Consider the following 19623-nt stretch of genomic DNA (forward strand, 5'->3'; position numbering starts at 1 on the left):
AATGATCATTGTGTTATCTCTTTCATAAGATTGTTAGGAGAAGTACAAGTGATAAATATGCCTGAAAATTGTCTGATAAAAATTCCTGCAACTTTTCAAGTAAACAGTCTTGTATTTATTTGTACTACTAGTGAATATTTTATAAATCATTATTCGTGAGAGTAAGTCATTAACTCTCTGATATAGATCTTACTATATGCTAAGGTATGTAGAGAAAGTTGGATAAGAAAAAAATCAACCTCCAACTCTAAGCTTTAAGACTCTCTTAAAAATATGTATTTTTTAATTTTATGTTTTAAATTTTTATGGGTACATAGTAAGTATATATATTTGTGGGGTACATGAGATGTTTTAACAGAGGCATGCAATGTAAAGTAATCACATCATGGAAAATGGGGTATCCACCTCCTCAAACATTTATCCTTTGTGTTACAAACAAACCAATTATACTCTTAGTTATTTTAAAATGTACAATTAATTTATTATTGATTATTGTCACCCTGTTGTGCTATCAAATACTAAGTCTTATTCAGTTTTTCTAACTATATTTTTGTACTCATTAACCATCCCCACCTCCCTCTCACATCACTCCCACACCCCAACTACTCTTCTCAGGCTGTGGTAAGCATCCTTCTACTGTCAATCTCCATGAGTTCAATTGTTTTAATTTTTAGTCCTCACAAATAGATGAGAACACGTGATATTTGTCTTTCAGTGCCTGGCTTATTTTACTTAATATAGTGACTTCCGGTACCATCCATGTTGCTGTAAATAACAGGATCTCATATTTTTTACGGCTAAACAGTACTCCATTGTGTATATATACCACATTTTCGTTATCTCTTCATCTGTTGATGGACACTTAGGTTGTAATTTATCTTTTAGTCTTCCTACTTGGTAAGAGTAACTTACACATGATAGTTACGGTGTTGTAATATTCTGTGTTTTTTTTTTTTTTTTTGGTGAACTTACAATTACCAGTAAGTTTTGTACCTTCAGGTAATTATTGTACATTAATGCCCTTTTCTTTCAGATTGAAGAACTCTCTTTAGCATTTCTTGTAGGACAGGTCTGGTGTTGATGAAATCCCTCAGCTTTTATTTGTCTGGGAAAGTCTTTATTTCCCCTTCATATTTGAAAGATATTTTTCACTGGGTATATTTTCTAGGGTAAAAAGTTGTGTTCTCTCAGCTCTTTAAGTATGTCATACCACTCTCTCCTATCCTGTAAGGTTTACCCTGAAAAATCTGCCACCAGGTGTATTGGAGCACCTTTGTATGTTATTTGCTTCTTTTCTCTTGCTGCTTTTAGGATCCTTTTGTTTTCCTGGACCTTTGGGAGTTTGACTATTAAATACATTGTGATAGTCTTCTTCGGGTTAACTTTACTTAGTGTTCTATAACCTTCTTGTACTTAGCTATTAATATCTTTCCCTAAGTTTGAGAAGTTTTCTGTTATTATCCCTTTTAGTTTTTATTTTATTTTATTTTTAATTTTTATTTTAGTTTCAGTTCCGGGACACATGTGCAGAAAGTACAGGTTTTTTACGTAGGTATACCTGTGCCATGGCGCTTTGCTGCACTTATTGACCCGTCCTCTATGTTCCCTCCTTTTGCCCCCCACACCCTAACAGGCCCTGGTGTATGCTGTTCCCCTCCATCTGTCCATGTGTTCTCATTGTTCAACTCCCAATTTTGAATGAGAATGTGTGGTGTTTGGTTTTCTGTTCCTGTGGTAGTCGCTGAGGATGATAGCTTCCAGCTTCATCCATGTCCCTGCAAAAGACATGATCTAATTTATTTATTTATATTTTTATTTATTTATTTATTTTTGAGATAGAGTCTCTGTCACCCAGACTGGAGTACAGTGGCTCAATCTCAGCTCACTGCAAGCTCCGGCTCCTGGGTTCACACCATTAGCTGGGACTACAGGCGCCCACCACCATGCCCGGCTAATTTTTTGTATTTTTAGTACAGACAGGTTTTCACTGTGTTAGCCAGGATGGTCTTGATCTCCTGACCTCGTGATCCACCCGCCTAGGCCTCCCAAAGTACTGGGATTACAGGCGTGAGGCACCCTGCCCAGCTGATCTCATTTATTTTTATTGCTGTGTAGTATTCCATGGTGTATATGTACCACATTTTCTTTATCCAGTCTATCATTGATTGGCATTTTAGTTGGTTCCATGACTTTGCTATTGTAAACAGTGCTGCAATAAATATGCATGTACGTATGTCTTTAGAGTAGAATGATTTATATTCATTTTGCTATATACTCAATAATGGGATTGCTGTGCCAAATGGTATTTCTGGTTCTGGATCCTTGAGGAATCGCCACATTGAATTCCACAATAGTTGAACTAATTTACATTCCCACCAGCCATGTAAAAGCATTCCTATTTCTCCACAGCCTCACCAGCATCTACTGTTTCCTGACTTTTTAATAATTGCCATTCTGACTGGCGTGAGATGGTATCTCTTTCTGGTTTTGATTCGCATTTCTCTAATGATAAGTGATGTTGAGCTTTTTTTCCATATGTTTGTTGGCCATTAATATGTTTTCTTTTGAGAAGTGTCTGTTCATATCCTTTGCCCACTTTTTGATGGGGCTGGAAAGGGAGCCTCACAATTTTTACTGGTGCCCTATTCTGTGGCTGAGCTTGTATCCAAATTGCAAGACAAAGTCCTCTTTAATCTACCCTCTCCTCTCCTCATACAGAAGGAAGGGTCTCTTTTCAGCTCCTGAAGTGTGCAGTCTGTGGTTGAGAGAGGAATGGCACAAGCACTTTCACAGCTACCCCAGCTGGTGTCTCAGTATGTCACATGCTCCCCATGTCCACCGTCTCTGAGCCCAGCTCAGCAATAGGGCTTGCCTAGGAGTTGTAGTCCTTGTGCCCTAGACTTCCTTTCCAATTTATTTAGAGCCCCAAAGCACTTTAGGCCATGGTGGTGATGCCTGCCAAAACTCAAGGTTGGATTGCTGGCATAGGTGATTCCCCTCTGGCTAGGACTGGTTTAATACTCCCCCCATGGGTAAACATCTGCTGAGTTCAGCCCAGTGTTGCTTTCTGCTGTGACACTGAGTTTAGTGCATTGTCTCACAATTGCTGCGCTCTCCCTCTCCCAAATTTAGACTCTCTCCACGCCATGAGGCTGCTGCCAGGGCATGGGAGAGGGGTGGCATTGGTAATTCAACACTGTTTTCCTACTTCTTCGGTGCCCCTTTCAGTGATATGAAGTTAAAACTAGGTACTGTGAATGCTCACTTGATTTTTGGTAAGAAAGTGAATTTTTGTGTAGAGAGTTGCTAAACTGGTGTCTTTGTTAGGGGGACGGTTGGTGGAGCATCCTGTTTGGCTATCTTGCTCTGTCCCTTTTCTAGAACTTGCATTTCTGAGTACTGAGGTGATACTCATGCTATTGGCCCAGAGAACACATTTTGAGATTCACTGGCTTACAGGAAGAAAGTCTCTGTAGAATTTATTAGATTAGCAAACTTGCTGTGGGTTGAGATCTCTTAAGGCTGTAGGTTGTCTCCAATTCTCTACACGTGTTAGATTATAAATTTCTAGATGGTGAAGAATGTGTGTGTGTGTGTGTATGTGTATGTGTGTGTGTATGTGTGTGTTTGTGTTTTGGAACTCGGATGTTTTACCCAATGCTAGACACCTATTAGCTGCTTCAAATTTACTTATTTATTTATTTTGTTTTCTTTTTCTTCCCTCTGGCACTATTGCAGGCAGTAATATGTCCTTTCAAATGTATCTGTACTATGGAAAGCACTTTGTAGACTCATAGCATGGCAATAATTGCTGCACACATGCAATTTTGGGAAGAAGACAAGAATTCAATTTGTATGAATCTGGGCTTTGGAGACAGAAGATCTGATGTAGGTCAAGAACAGGGTTTGAAATTTGGCTTTGTTTTTTGGTTGCCAGGTAAGCTTAAGAGATTCACTTAATCTGTCTGTGGTATATGAATTTAATTATTTGTAGTAATCATAACTTATGAGTTTATTTCAAGTTTTAACAAGCCAGTACATTTAAAGTGAAATTATGTTATTTTTAACTCAACTGAGATGCCTTTGGTTTAGCTGAAGGAAAGTAAGAGTCATGCTTGATAAAGATATTTTAATAAAAAGGAGAGACTGAGTAATTGCCAAAAAAAAAAAAAGAGAGAGAGACAGAACATTCGTCTTAGCAAGAGAAGTTTGATAATGAAATAGAGATAAAGTTAGGTCTGAGTATTTGTCTGCATCTGCAAGGATGGATGAGTCATGTCTAAAGAGGGACAATAGAGGTACACCTTTGCATGAGATCTTTATGCTCAAAGTTAAGGCTCGTGACTTTGTCTACCTGAGATGTAAATGAGCCACTTGAATAATCAGAGGAAGTTGAAAGTATTCTGATTACTCAAATATTCAGAGAAAAGTAACATTTACTCACCACTTCTGGCTGGGAACACAATGTTAGGAGTAGAAGTCCAAATGTTGGATCATATAATGAAAATAACCATCAAAAATTTCAACAGAAATACAAATTCAAATGGAATAAAGTGTTTGTTAATAGTCATGATATTTTCAATAAAATGAAATATTTTTACAAGTGTAATATTAAAATTGCTGTGAATAGATTTTATAAAATTTTTATGAAGACCAAAAAAGAAAAATACAATTGTATAAATTTTACTTTTTAAAAATATGTATACTTGTAAAATATGTGCATATAAAATCATTTCTAATAACCTATTTATTTAATGTGTTTATTTGTTTTATTATAGCAAACAACAAAGTGAATATTCATGATTTTATTTGTTATCTGTTACTCAATTCCTTATTTAATTAGATCTTAAATTCTTAGCTATGAATCTGCTCTTTTAGGAGCTTTCAGATAGCTCTCATTGGTATCAGGTCGCTTCATGTAATTAAAGGCAGTTTTATTATAATTTTGTAAAAATATTTTTATTAATACCACCTCTGTATTCAGTCATAGTGATATCACTTCTCAATGAATACATATCTTACATGAGAGGTCCAACATACTTTAAATAGTTAATATATTGTCTATTGTTCTGTAGATTTTGAGATGAGAATTTTTTAAAGTTCACAAGGTTTGTATATTTATTTTTAGTAATCTTTTTAAAAGAATTTTGGAGAAGTTTTAGGTTCACAGAAAAATCAAGTACGGAGTTCTGATATGCTCCTTTCTCTCACACACTCACATCTTCTTCACTCAACATCCCACACCAAAGAGGTACATGTATTACAATCAATAAACCAACATTGAAACGTCGTTATCACCCCCAAACCATAGTTTACATTAGGATATGCTCTTGGTGTTCTACATTCTGTACATCCTGTGTGTTTAGATTAATGTATAATGACATGTATCCATCATTGTAGTATTATACAGAGTAGTTTCACTAACATAAAATTCCTTGCTATGTCTATTCCTTCCTCCCTCTTAACCTTCGGTAAGTTTCGCTTTTTTCAAAATGTTGTACAGTTAGATTATAATAAGCATGTACCCTTTCATATGGGCTTCTTTCAGTTAGTAATATGCATTTATAATCCATCCATGTCTTCTCATGACTAGGTAACTCATTGCTTTTTAGTGCAACGGGAGAAGGAAGAAAGGAAGAAAGGAAGGAAGGGAAGAAGGGAGGGAGGGAGGGAATGAGAAGGGAGAGAGAGAAACAAAGATAAAAGGAAGAAAGAAAATAAAGAAAAAGAAGGAAAGAAAAAGAAAGAGAAAGAAAGAAGAAAGAAAGAACGAAAGAAAGAAAGAGAAAGAAAGGAAGAAAGAAAGAGAAAGAAAGATGGAGGAAGGAAGGAAGGAAAGAAAAGAAAAGAAAAGAGAAAAAAAGAAAAGAGAAGAAAGAGAAAATATGTCTTCTAAGACCAGTGGGAAAATATCTCAAGGATGATCAACTATGTCAAATGCTGATGATAAGACAACAAAGACAAGAACCAAGGATTTCCCATGGATTTAACAATGAGGTCATTATTCAAAGTTAGCAAACGTTTTTTTAAAGTAAATTTTTTAATGGATACATACATGTGCAGAATCTCATACTAAATGTACGTTAAGAGCGTAGGAAGAAAATTTGTTCTCTTTTCACTATGACAAGACATGCCCCTTATTAGTGGAGTCAGATTTATGATAACAGTAAAACAAAATGTTTATTCTATCAATGCCCCAATCAACTCAAACTGACTATCAGCAGGGATAACTTACCTGCACTTGGAACAAAAAAGCAAATGATGAGCATATTCTTCTTACTGCCACTCCATGGGAATTTTCTAATGATGCTGGGATAAAAAATAACCCCCAAGTATTAAATAAATCATCTTTCTTTGAAATTTATAGCAGCTAAACTTTATTGTTTGGCTTGAACTGCAGTATGAAATTTTCGTTAGCAATAATTTAAGAAGACATTTCTCACTACAGTCAATATTTGGCAAGCTTCAATTAATTCATAAACAATAAGTTAGGTCTAAATTTATTCTTGTAAGCAAGCATTTATGTCCTTCAGTCATTAGGTATGTTTTATTTACTGACTAGCAAACATTGAATGAAACAGTTTTTAAAGTTAATAGCATTTGTCTTAAACGACAGTTTGCTATGTCTTATGTACCTGTAGAACTTATAGTTGAATTTGGAAATATGTAGAACTCTTTATATCCTGTGCCTAAAGAGTGTTAACACACATATTGGTAAAACTCCATAAGTAGAATTCGGTTCTGTCATGAAGTGGAAAAAAGTGGGAGGTCTGCTCTTAATTACTCTAGTCCCTCAACTGTGTTTCTAGAATGAAGTGGCTTTATTGATGCTGGAATTCCCAGTAGAATTGCAAAGAGAGGGTGGCAGGTGTTCAAGCCTTAACTGGGAAGATTGGGGTGAGAATATCTTTAGGAGTAATTACAGGTGAATTAACTGATCTTTCCTAATGATTTTATAGCAAATTTATTCTGCACAGTTGGAACTCTAAGGAAAAAGCTATTTTATAAACCATAAATTACTTTCTTTCCTGGTGGGATTGGACTGGCTGTTGAAAGTTACATGCATCTGGGATTAGACACTCAAAGCCAAATTTTAAGTGTATGTACATTTTGACCATAAACAGATTAAATAAAGGAAGCTACAAGTCTGTCATTTCTAAAATGGAGCTGATTAAGAAATTTACCTTATGGTACTGCACTGAGGATTTAATGAATTCTTATATAAAGCATACTGTAGAATACCTGGCACAAAGTAAACACTCCGTAAATGCTAGTTGAAACACAGACATACATTCGACACCTAGTCATTTTTTCTCCCTATAAAATACAGCCTAAAACTAAACTCACTTACCCTATATTGGAGTGAACTTTTCAAAATTCATGTGAATTACATAACACATCTTATGGTCTTATATGGCTGGCCTCAATGCACCTTTTGAGTTTAATCTCTCTTCGTTCGTCAGTCTCTTATGCATGATTTCACTGAATATCCTGTAGAACTACAAGAACTAGAACTACTAGAACTAGTACAAACTTTTCCCCCTCTTGCCATTTCCTATTATTTGCCCAACTCCTTTACACATCTAAAGACAGCTGAGTGTCACTTCCTAAATAGGTGCTTCTCCAGAGACTTGTAGTTTTACTGTCAGGTTCCTTCATAGATTGTGAACTCCTTGAAGAAATGGGTTGTTTTTGCCCCATTCCCAGAACATAGAAAGTCTTTATAAATGTTGACAGGAATATGAGTATTTTTCTCACAAAATTGATTTTAGGGTGATTGCTATTCTGTATCTTTAGCTACATTTTTAACCTATCAGAATTATAACTCTCTGATAAGGGAGGGGAATTATTAATAACAGAAGAAGCAGGTTCTGTTTCGAAGAGAAGTGCCTGTTTTAGAGAAAGAGCAAATCAGACAGAGAGACATATCATCATGTGAAATTACTTTTATGATAAACTCTTCTTTATCTATAAGAGAAATTAGAGGACTCATTAACTAGAAACTTGCCTGCAGTCTACTAAAATAATAATGCCTTATAAATTGTGATGTCAAAGCCCTCAACCTTCTTGGAAAGTTGTCCTAATCATCAAAAAAGATGACTCTTCTTTATGTTTACAAAATGAAGTCAATTTTATTGTAATAATAAGAGCTAAAATGTATCGAGTGCTTACATTGTGCCAGCTTCTGATATACATGCTTTACTTATTTAATACAACCACCCGTTGAAGTTGGTCATGATATTTTCCTCATTTTATGAAAGAGAAAACAAGGACTCAAGATGTTACAAAATGTGTTGAAAGTCATAGAGATTATAGGAAATCATACCCAAGTCTAGTTGTCCTGATCCAAGAAGCCAGCCACTGTGCTGTATTATATGCCTACTATTTGGAAAGTGATATTGTATGGGTGAGATGAGGCTAATTAACACACAGAGAATATCTAATTAGTTTACTCAGTGTATTGAAATGTGTTGCAATTTTATATTACCTGACATCAGGAAAAGTCATCATCTCATGTTTCTCATGCCCCTAAATGGTAGTGCAATAGTCGTGAAGCTGCAGGTAGTATAAGAGATTATCTAAACGTGTTCCATTTTTTCACACACGTGGATGCTGAGTGTCTATGGGAGATAAGGAACTAACACTAGATATTTGAGCTGATTCGATTCTAAGTGAAGAATAGAAACCTCATAAAGCATGCTTAAAATTTCCTATACAAGAAAACCAAGTTCATATTCTATTCCCTATCTGAGATAACTTCAACAAATATTTGAGCAGCTGTAAAACTTTTGTTACATCTGCAACCACTTTAAAATTTAAATTGGCAAGGTCTACACTCAACTGGGACATCTGCCACCAGTAGGATAATGCCATGGCTGGCTGGTGGTGGCTTTAGTTAATATTTATAGAATTAAATTATTATTCATGTGTGTTCAATTCTATATCTTTCTGTAAAAATATGACTATTAAAGTAGAAATTAATCTGTATGTATATTAAAAACATAATTTATTTAAACAAAGGAATGATTTGAAAAATACTTTTTAGTAAAAATATTTAGTTTCAACTAATTATCTTTCTCATGACTTGCATATTATGTTTTTCTAATTTTAAAGATAATATATTTTAGTCTTTGACCAAAGGTATTTCACTTGTCAAAAGCTCTGAATGTAGCCTAGGTGGCTGATTCAGTTTGGTCTTTTTCTCTATTATTAACTCAAAACAATTCTATAAATAATTGAAGCTCCTTCCATGTTGGAAGTCTACTTTTTATTTCCATGTAGCTAAGAAAATATACTAATGCCATATATGTGTTTCTCATTTTTCCCCTAGTTTCTCTACTGCCAATCCTTTCTAGCTGGGAGAAAAATTTATTTCCATTGCTTTACCTTTTTGCCTTTGATTTTATAAGAAGAACATTCTTTAAATTGTAAGAAGATATCAATTTTAAAATGCATTAGTCTGATTTATTAAACTTCTTAAGGGGAAGAAACCATAAATACTAAAGAAAGTATACGTAATTCTGGAGACCACATCCTGATTCCTGAAACATTAAAAAGTGAAAAATTGTGCATCTAAGAATTGCTGAAATAAACACACATGGTTTAGATCTAGTCTAGAATGCCATCCATTTTCCTAAGATTTCTTTAATAAGGCATGCTATAACCTGAAAGTTTGTGTTCATCTCTCAAAGTTCCCTGCCTGCTAATACCATCACACTGGTGATTAGTTTTCTAACTTTGAGAGATGATTAGGTCACTAATGGAAAATGAAGGGGTGCTGAACATGGGCATTTAGTGTCTCTTTAACAGAAAACTTCTTTTACCTGGTGAATGTCCTAATGCCTATTTGCCTGATCTGTGACCAGGGGTTTCCTCCCATGGGAGCTGGTTATACTAGCAGGTGCCCTGTTGGCTCTTGTCTGACCTGTTTATGCCTGCCTGACCTCTTTCACTGTGCTGCTGGGAACGCTATGGACCTTGTGTTTTCCTGGCATCCTGGGGAAAACCCAGCCTGCGAAGCCCCTAGTTTTTTTGATTTTGTTTTGTTTTGTTTTGTTTTGTTTTCAGATGGAAGGCACAAATATAACACACCACCAAAGCATAAACAATTCAAAAGGTTTTCTACTTACATATCCTTGGCAGGGATGTGCAATGAATCTGGAGGACAATCTTCTGTTTCTAGGTCAAGACAGAGATGAAAGGTCAGACAGAGAGACAGCAAGCACATGGCAACTGGCACTAATATATATACAAGCACGTGGCAACAGGTACTAATGTATATGTAAGCGAATAAGGTGTGGGTTATTTTAAGTTTGTTGGCAATGAATGATTTCTTTAAAGGAAGTATCAGAAAAGCAGGCACCAGTCTGCTAGGCAAAATGGTGCCTGTAAGTTATTATCTCTGGCCACTGACTTGAACCATTTGGGTGTTGTATACACTGGAAATTGTGCCAAAGGTAACTGAGCCCTAGTTCTGACATGAGAAAGTTAAACTTGTATTCAAAATGGATGCAGAGGCAACATAAAATTATAAGAATTCGCTACCTTCTAACTCCTATTGCTCTCTTTAGTACAGGATATAAGATTTCCCATTGTAAAATGACATATTTAAAAGGGCAAATGTATTTTCTAGTCATTTGAAAAACACATTTAAACTGAAATGTGGACCTCAAGCAGTCATATAAAGTGGTGCACAGTCAGTTTTAGGAAGTTCCAAAATAGTAGATGCTTTCCACTGTGAGATGCAGCGATCTCTGGTTTTATTTTGGGTACTGCTGCAGGTGATTTTCTCTTGGTTTAAATTTAATTGCACTTTGGACAAATTAATGCATGTTTTCAGCTGCCTGGCCACAATGGTTTATTTTATTTAAGTCTACAAAATGTAGTTAAACACATTTACATAATTTATTATATTTGGAAATTTTAAATGGTCCCAGATCATTACTTTCACCTTGAAAATTGATTGAGGCCTTATCATTCCACTTTCTAATTAAGCACAGTGATTTACAGCCTTCATTCAGCTGTCACAAGAACTGTATTCCTGTCTTATGACTGCAGATGCCTCCCCCTACTTGGTTCTTGCCTGTTTTCTGAGCCTTATTCATAGGCTTTCTCTTCATTCTGTACAAAGTCCTTCCAATAAATTCATTTATGCATGATTTTGTCATTATTGGGTATGATTATATTCCAATTAATATAGAGTAAGATTGTGAAAGTATGCTGCATTTATGATCATTTTGGTTTTACAGCCAAAAGTTTTTTTTTGGATTTGAGCTAATGTGTAAGCCATATTGCAAATATGATATTTTAAGTTTCCAGTCAAAAATCAAAATGAGATTGAGGATATAATTATATTAAATATTTTGTCATCCTCTGACTTAAATTCAGGTTTTACCACACAGGAGTGGGAAATATTACACGACATTTTTAGGCAGATCTGACACATACGCATGCTGAGTTCCCAAAAAGTTGTAGGAATATTTGTTTTTAAGCTAACCAACACCTGAACACCATTTGATATTGTTAGGCTTTGTGTCCCCCCACAAATCTCATCTTGAATTGTAGTCCCCATAATCTCCATGTGTCAAGGGAGAGACCAGGTGGAGGTAACTGAATCATGGGGGATGGTTTCCCCCATGTTGTTCTCATGATGGTAAGTTCTCAGGAGATCTGATGGTTTTGTAAGGGGCTCTTCCCACTTCACTCGGCACCGCTCCTTCCTGCCTCCTTGTGAAGAAGGTGCCTTGCTTCCCCTTCATCTTCAGCCATGATTGTAAGTTTCCTGAGGCCTCCCCAGCCATGCTGAACTGTGAGTCAGTTAAAACTCTTTCCTTTATAAATTACCCAGTCTCAGACAGTTCTTTATAGCATTATGAAAACACACTAATACACCATCCAATTGAGAGGTATTCCCTAAATAGGTGGTATGCAGGGTCTACCTTCCACTTACAGAAGCCAAAAGGGGATGGATGTTTTCTCACTCACCCTGGTAAAATATGGCATTAGCCTAAAATATAAATTTGGTTACTTGAATGTTCTTCCTTGCTGTTCTTAACCGTAAGAAAGTGACAAAACTATGTGATTATGTAACATGTGGGTGGGGGGCAAAAATATTTAAGCATGACATCAAGCATGTACTGGAGGCGTGTAACTAAAAAATCTGGGATATACTAGTACTAAGACAAGGCTTTATCAAGGTGAGGAGGTGATGCAAACGACATTACCAGGTTCCAAATTTTTCTCTCCATATTCAGGTCTTCTTTTTCTAAGTAAAATCTATTCTCAGATAAACTATGTGATCTGTTTCAATGCCTAAGTAATGTCAAATGATAATTGTTTCAGAAATAAAGAAGAATGATCATTAATCATAAGTGAAAAGGTTAAATTGGTAAATTGTCTGAGGATCAGAATTCCCTTTTCAGTGTCCTGTGCCACCATGTTTTTGAAGCATATACCATCTGAGAAGAATCTCAGTATGGTCTTTGAGGACAGTCTCCCCTGTGCCCCACAGTTGGCTCAGCTGAGGCTGCTTGTAATTAATTATCCCCAAATTCTGGATGCATTTCAAAATACTGAAATGTTCTGATTTTTAAACTCTGGCAATGACATTTAGCTTTACGGAAACATTTCTTTACACTGTTGCCCAGAATTACCAACTGCCAGAATAAATTATGGACATACATTATAATCACTGTCCATTTATGGATGGCCACAAAGATATCTATGTTGTGGAGTGACAGTCTTTCCTGTGCTCATCCAGGTGCATTGTACAAGTATATCATAAATGCTTTAAGTTAAATGATGTTCATTTCTCTGCTTTAACACCTTAGAATTGGACAGAATAAACAAAAGGGAATTCAAGTGAAATTTTATTTGCTATAATGAAGAAATAGTTGTTCTCCCCCACCCCCATGGAAATCCGTATATTCAGATGGAGATTAGATTACATGATATACGAATTTCCCTCTAAGAAGTGTATAATCTGTAACATGTAATTGTGAATTAATAAATGAGCAAATATATTATAAAAATGTAACCAAGCATATACTCAGGGAGAAAAGATACAGAGTCTCAAATTCTGTTAATACAGAGGTGATAACAAACCAATTATATGTAGTTATCAAAATAATTATTCTACTGTTTATCAAACTTAATTACATGACAAACAGAAGAAGTACATGACAATAATAACATGATTAATTCAAATTCTAGCAGATCCTTTAAAAAATCTAGAATATAGATGTTTTCAGATATTCTAGCAGTATTCAGCTATGCAGATGCAATCTCTTAAACAAGTGGAATCACCATTTAAAACTAGTTATTTGCTTGGGATGACTGACTAGCAGTCATTGACTATAATCAATCTTGTAGGCTTGATTTATGAATAAGAATTTTGCGGCTGTGAAAGCTGAAGTTAAGGAGGTGGGGGAGCATTAAAGAGGATCATCAAAAGTTCTCATACATGAATTCCTAATGTGTTAGTAACTCTACCTACTGGCATCAAAAAATGAACTGGTTGTTTGAGATAGTCACACAATCTGGATTTATTCATCTTTATCCTGAGATATATTATTTCATAGATAAGAGTCACATGTTTAATAATGCACAATGAAAATTTGTGCAAATAAGAAAATACATATGTACATATTTATATGAATATGCTAACAGAAATTTCTAAAATCACATATAGAAAAAATATAAAGCATTTTAGGGCCATTTACAGGAGGAGTAAAAGTTCTTTTTTTTTTTTTTTTTTTTGCAGGTGATACAAATTTAATTCTATTGCTCTTATGATGAAAATACAACTGCAGTGAAATGGCAAGCATCTCTTCAGTTACACTGCTTTACATTATCACTCTACGTTTATTCATGGAAGGAACTCAAATGTTAAAAAGTTATAAATAGCTGAGAAACGTTCAAAAATGAGGTTGGCTAATGCAGTGAGAAAAGAAATACAAATTAGAACAAAAGAATACTATTTCCCCTAAAATTGACAAAAGTCTACTTAACCGACAGTATCTAATGTGAGCTAGAGTGTGATGAAGCATACCCTTGTCAACTTTGGTGATAAGGCAATTTAGCATTTCCACAAAAATTTTAAGTGAAAATATCATTAGTCATAGCAATTCTACTTCTCTAATACAATTATAAGGAAGCCATATCACAAACATATGGAGATATATACATACTGACATGTACATATACACATACACATATATACACTATGTTACATACACCCACATTCATTATATCATTATGAAATTAAAGAACAACTGGAAAACACCTTTTGGTTCCTAATAAGGGAAGATTTAAATACTTTACTATAAAGCTATATTATTATACTTTATGCGAAAATCAAAAGGAAGATATATTCTATATTTCTAGCAAGAAAAGAAAGTTCACATATGTTGTTGATTGAAGAAAAAGAAGTTCCAGACTAATAAAGGTGACGGGCTTCCCTCTTTGATAAGTCCTATGTGTCCTATCTATCTCGACAGAATTCTATCAGGAATAACACTGTACTTGTTCCACAGAAATTGTTTGATAAGCTTGTCTGGAATAGAATCTGAGTTAAATGTGCCATTGTTCTTCCCCAGATAACTTTTTGGAGTCTCCATAGATCATACAAAGAGAGAACAGAGAAACAAGGCAACAAATTGGGATACGCTGCAACACTCTGCACTGAACATCTGACTTCAATTAGCCAACCCTCAATTTCCAATACAAAAATCACAAAAGGATTACTAAGGGAGAATTTATAATGGAAAAGAGGTGAAAAATGGCTTATTTGCTTTGATTATCAGCAGGGTGTCCAGTACAGTAGGTATAGCTGGCATGGGACTGGTAGTGCAGGCTGGCTCTTGGAAAGGAGTATGTATTCCAGGCTGGTTGGCTGCTGTTCCACTGGGAGCTGAAGCCAGGGCTCATGGTCACTCGTGACTTACTAGTTTGATAGGCTCTCACTGTGGAGCTAGACTCGTTTGCTTGTTATTTCTTAAGAATCTCTGTATCTTTCTCCTTTTTTACCTTCTGTGGTTGTGATCTGTGAGGAAAAATGTGTATTTCTCCCAGATTCAGCCTATATTTATCCTGATGTGGCTGTGAACTGGACCATCTGCTATAGGAAGGAGCACCTGAAGACTTGTTGGCTGAAGTTCTCTGTCTGGCCTCGAAAGACATTCAAATTAGCCACCACTGGAGTAGATGACCTAAAAGTTCTTACAACTCTCAATTATACCCAGTGATGTCTCGATTAGCACTTATTATAAAAATTAAAATTTATAATTCAACATTTATACCATCCAGAAAAAGTTAAAATATATTAATAGCCTATTTCTCTTCAATAAAGCGTATATATAACTCTATTTGTTAATGTTTCTATTCTCCATAACATTCTGTTTATAGATAAGCCCTATGCTATTTCTAGTCAAGTGCTAATCTCTTGAATGAAGCTGAATTAGGTAGTCAACTACTAGATGTATCCTGAAAAACAAGTAATGTGTATATTTCATTTATTTTATACATAAGAGCTACAGACTGATGTCACAATCTTTTCAAGGGCTATTAAATTCATTATTTTAACTAACATTTTTGAACATCTATCTTATGTTGTTAATTGAGGACATTTCTGAATGTATAACAACATAAGAATAATAGTTTTTAAACTTCAAAGAGATGACAGGTTAATGAGTAAAGGAGAAATATGAAATATCACAGAATTCCTTGACACTAAATGATGTTTTGCAAATACTGAACAGAATGATGTTTGTAAACTTTCCACTGGTTTTCAAGAGTCCCAAAACATTAGGAAAATGTACATCACCTAACTTTGTCACATATTTATAATTGTTTTTCCTTTTTGTTTCCAAGAAGCACAATGTAGACCAAGAGGTAGAAAAAATATTTTTAAAGATACATGTCTAAGATGTTCAGCTTTTGTCAAATGAAGCAATAGTCACAATAATGTCACAGAGACAATGGATTGCCAGCTTAATCCTCAGCAATAACATAATACTCATTATCAGGCATTTATTCATTTATTCGTTCATGAATGCTATTCATTCACATTCATTAAATAATAACTACAAGTTGAATAATGTTTTCAGCACTGGACACACAGAAAAATCAGACAGATTCGATTTTTTGTTTAGATGAAGAAGAAGGAACAGAATATAAACAGCAAAAAAAAAATCAAAACACACAGAAAAAAACAAAAGTAGCAAAACTCAGTGCTCAGAAATTCTGTAGAGTATTTCTATACACATGCACACATACACACATACATTCACACCCTATAATACCACTTTTATTATGCTATTTTGCATAGAAAACTCTTTAGGGATATTAAATTTTATTAAAATAACAACAGAGATCCTTGGAGAAGACTACACATAATATATCACCTAATAGCATGAAGGTTTTTATCTGCTTATCTTGTCTCCTAGTTTTAAATATACACATTTAAACTTTACACATTTGGACTCAGAATATGGAAAGCGTTTTATTTTCCATATTTTCAGTTAATATTACAATACTTCTTTAAAGGCCTGGCATATACTTTTTTCATTTCCATCCAATTTCATGCTGACACACAAACACATGCACAAATACACACGCACACACACACACACACACACACACACGCACATGGTTTATTATTTTTTACAATTTTGATCATAGTTTTAGACATTTCCCTGCAAATTGTTTTCCTCTAAGAACAATTTAATATGAGCATCCATCCAGGAGACTAATTATAAACCTGCTTTACAATTAGTAGAGATTTTTGGTAGCTATATAATTTTGATTGTACATTCTGTGTTTCAATTGTTTATTTTCATATCTGTAGCCCACTCTAACTCAGAAGGTGAGTTCTTTGAAAGCAGATAACTCCTGTTTTATATTTGTATTCTCAAGATCTAACACTGAGTCTAGCACAGAGAAGTCAATGAATATCTATGAGTGAATAGAATATGCATGAATAAATAAATATTTTTAACGAATCTTTTCTAAAGTAATTCATTTTTTTTTTTTTTTTGTGATGGAGTTTCATTCTTGTTACCCAGGCTGGAGTGCAATGACATGGTCTTGACTCACTACAACCTCCGCCTCCCGGGTTCAAGCAATTCTCCTTCCTCAGCCTCCGGAGTAGCTGGGCTTACAGGTGCCTGCCACCACGCCCGGCTAATTTTTGTATTTTTAGTAGAGATGGGATTTCACCATGTTAGTCAGCCTGGTATCGAATTCCTGACCTCAAGTGATTCACCCGCCTCGGCCTCCCAAAGTGTTGGGATTACAGGCATGAGCCACCGTGCCCGGCCAGATAATTTCAACTTTTATTATAGATTAAAGGGTACTTGTACAGATGTGTTGTATGGGTATATTGTGTGATGCTGAAGGTGAGCATAGTACCCAGTAGTTTTTTTTTTTTTCAGCCCATGTCTAACTCCCTTCCTCCCCTATCTAATAGTCCCTGGTATCTATTATCCTTATCTTTATGTCTATGAGTATTCAATGTTTAACTCCCTCTTATACACGACAACGTGTCATTTGGTTTCCTGTTCCATTTAGCCACTGTGGAAAGCACTTTGGAGCTTTCTAAAGAATGAATCTTTCCATTTAAAACAAATTATACCCTCTAGACTTTATGTATGATAGGTTAACTGGGGGCAATTGAGAACGGGATGCCTATTAGAATAAATAGGGAGATCACAAAAAACTTTCAGAAGCAAACAGTCACTACAATCAAAATAGTTATTAGACACATAGAAAATGAGGAGGAGAAAACACAAACTAGGATAATGGCTAGTTCAAGTCAAGTTCCTGGGACTTAGGAAAAAATAACCAATCTAACTTGGTTACAGCAAATTTTTTATATAGGCAAGACATTAGACTGGTGAGAGATTCTCAAATTTTTAATCCCTTGAAAGTCAGTCTGTTTGTAATTTATAAAACTCCATGACAGATTTTCCGTGGGGTGGCATAAGATTCTCACCATATTTTAGGAAGTTTAGGAAGTTTACCCTGAAACAAATGTGCTAAGTAGGTTGAGTTACAGTGAACCTTAGAGTAGGCTAGAAAATTCGCTCTTGGAAGAACCCAGCAAGTGGGAGCCAAGCTAGAGGAAGAACAAGAGGATAAAAACTTAAGGAATGAGTATATATATATAAAAAAACTGCAAGAAAAACAAACAGAACTTTTTTTTTAATTTATCCTTTTTTTCATCTTTTAGATTCAGGGGGTGCATGTGTAGGTGTGTTTCCTGCATATACCTCATGATTCTGAGGTTTGGAGCATGAATGCTATCACCCAGGTACTGAGTATCGTACCTAAGAGTCTTTAAACCCTTGCCTGCCTCCCTCACTCCCCACTCTTGTAGTCCTCATTTTCCATTGTTGCCATCTGTATATCCATGAGTACACAATATTTAGCTCCCATTTATAAGTGAGAATATGTGGTATTTGATTTTCTGTTCCTGTGTTTGTTTAGGATAACAATATCCAGTTGCATCTATTTTGCTGCAAAGGACAAGACTTCCTTCTTTTTAGGGTTGCATAGTATTCCATGGTGTATATGTACCACATCCACCATTGTTGGGCACCTAAGATGATGCCATGTCTTTGCTAATGTGGGGCAATGAACATGTGAGTGCATGTGTCTTTTGGTAGAAATATTTGTTTTCTTTTTTTGGATCTTTGGGCAGTAATGGGATTGCTGAGTTGAACGGTAGTTCCCTTTTAAGTTCTTTGAGAAATCTTCAAACTGCTTTCCATGGTGGCTTCACCAATTTACGTTCCCACCAATACTGTATAAGTGTTCCCTTTTCTCCACACCCTTATCAGCATCTGTTGTTTTTTGACTATTTAACTACAGCAATTCTGACTGGTGTGAAATGAGATCTCATTGTGATTTTGATTTGCATTTCTCTGAAGATTAGTGATGTTGAACATTTTCTCCATATTGAGAGATGACAACGTGCTAGCAGCCCTGGCTGGCCTTCGGTTCCTCCTCGTCCTAGGCTTCCTCTCTGACCACGCTCGAGGAGCCCTTCAGTCCGCCACTGCACTGTGGGGGCCCCTCTGTGGGCTGGCCGAGGCCGGAGCCAGCTCCCTCTGCTTGCAGGGAGGTGTGGAGGGAGAGGCGCCGCCAGAACCGGGGCTGTGCAGGGCAATTGCGGGCCACAGTGAGTTCTGGGTGGGCGGGGCCTCAGCGGTCCCCACACTTGGAGCAGCCAGCCGGCCGGCGATGCCAGCTCCAGGCAGTGAGGGGCTTAGCACCTGGGCCAGCAGCTGCAGAGGGGGCGCCGGGTCCCCAGCACCACCGGCCCACCCATGCTGCGCTCAAATTCTCGCCAGGCCTCAGCCACTGCCCCAGGGGGCAGGGCTCAGGACCTGCAGCCTCCCATGCCCCAGCCTCCTCACCCCGCCTCCCCCCATGGGATACCGCATGGCCCCAGCCTCCCTGACAGGCGCTGCCCCCTGCTCCCCGGTGCCTGGTCCCATGGACCGCCCAAGGGTTGAGGAGTGCGGGTGCACCCTACGGGACTGGTGGGCAGCTCCACCGGTGGCCCCGGCACGGGATCCACTAGGGGAAGCCAGCTGGGCTCTTGAGTTGGGTGGGAACTTG

The 19623-nt window shown here is 36.4% G+C and overlaps 1 protein-coding gene across 9 annotated transcripts in view; it reads left to right on the plus strand.

Annotated features, from left to right (window-relative positions):
* The window catches only part of LUZP2 (leucine zipper protein 2), a 585586-nt gene that overhangs the window by 380104 nt on the left and 185859 nt on the right, over positions 1–19623 (plus strand). The window contains exons 6-7 of one of the 9 annotated variants that reach the window (XM_047426870.1): positions 14598–14772; positions 15073–15586. The exons of 5 other annotated variants lie outside the window; for them this stretch is intronic. In XM_047426870.1, coding sequence (XP_047282826.1) covers positions 14598–14762 — 165 coding nt within the window. In that variant the 3' untranslated portion in view covers positions 14763–14772; positions 15073–15586. Of the gene's footprint in view, positions 1–10068; positions 10269–13762; positions 14773–15072; positions 15587–19623 lie in introns of those variants that run through there. 3 more of the 9 variants (XM_047426869.1, XM_017017649.3, XM_047426871.1) reach the window with 3 other exon arrangements.

The sequence above is a fragment of the Homo sapiens genome, chromosome 11 (assembly GCF_000001405.40).
Source record: "Homo sapiens chromosome 11, GRCh38.p14 Primary Assembly".
Taxonomy (NCBI): domain Eukaryota; kingdom Metazoa; phylum Chordata; class Mammalia; order Primates; family Hominidae; genus Homo; species Homo sapiens.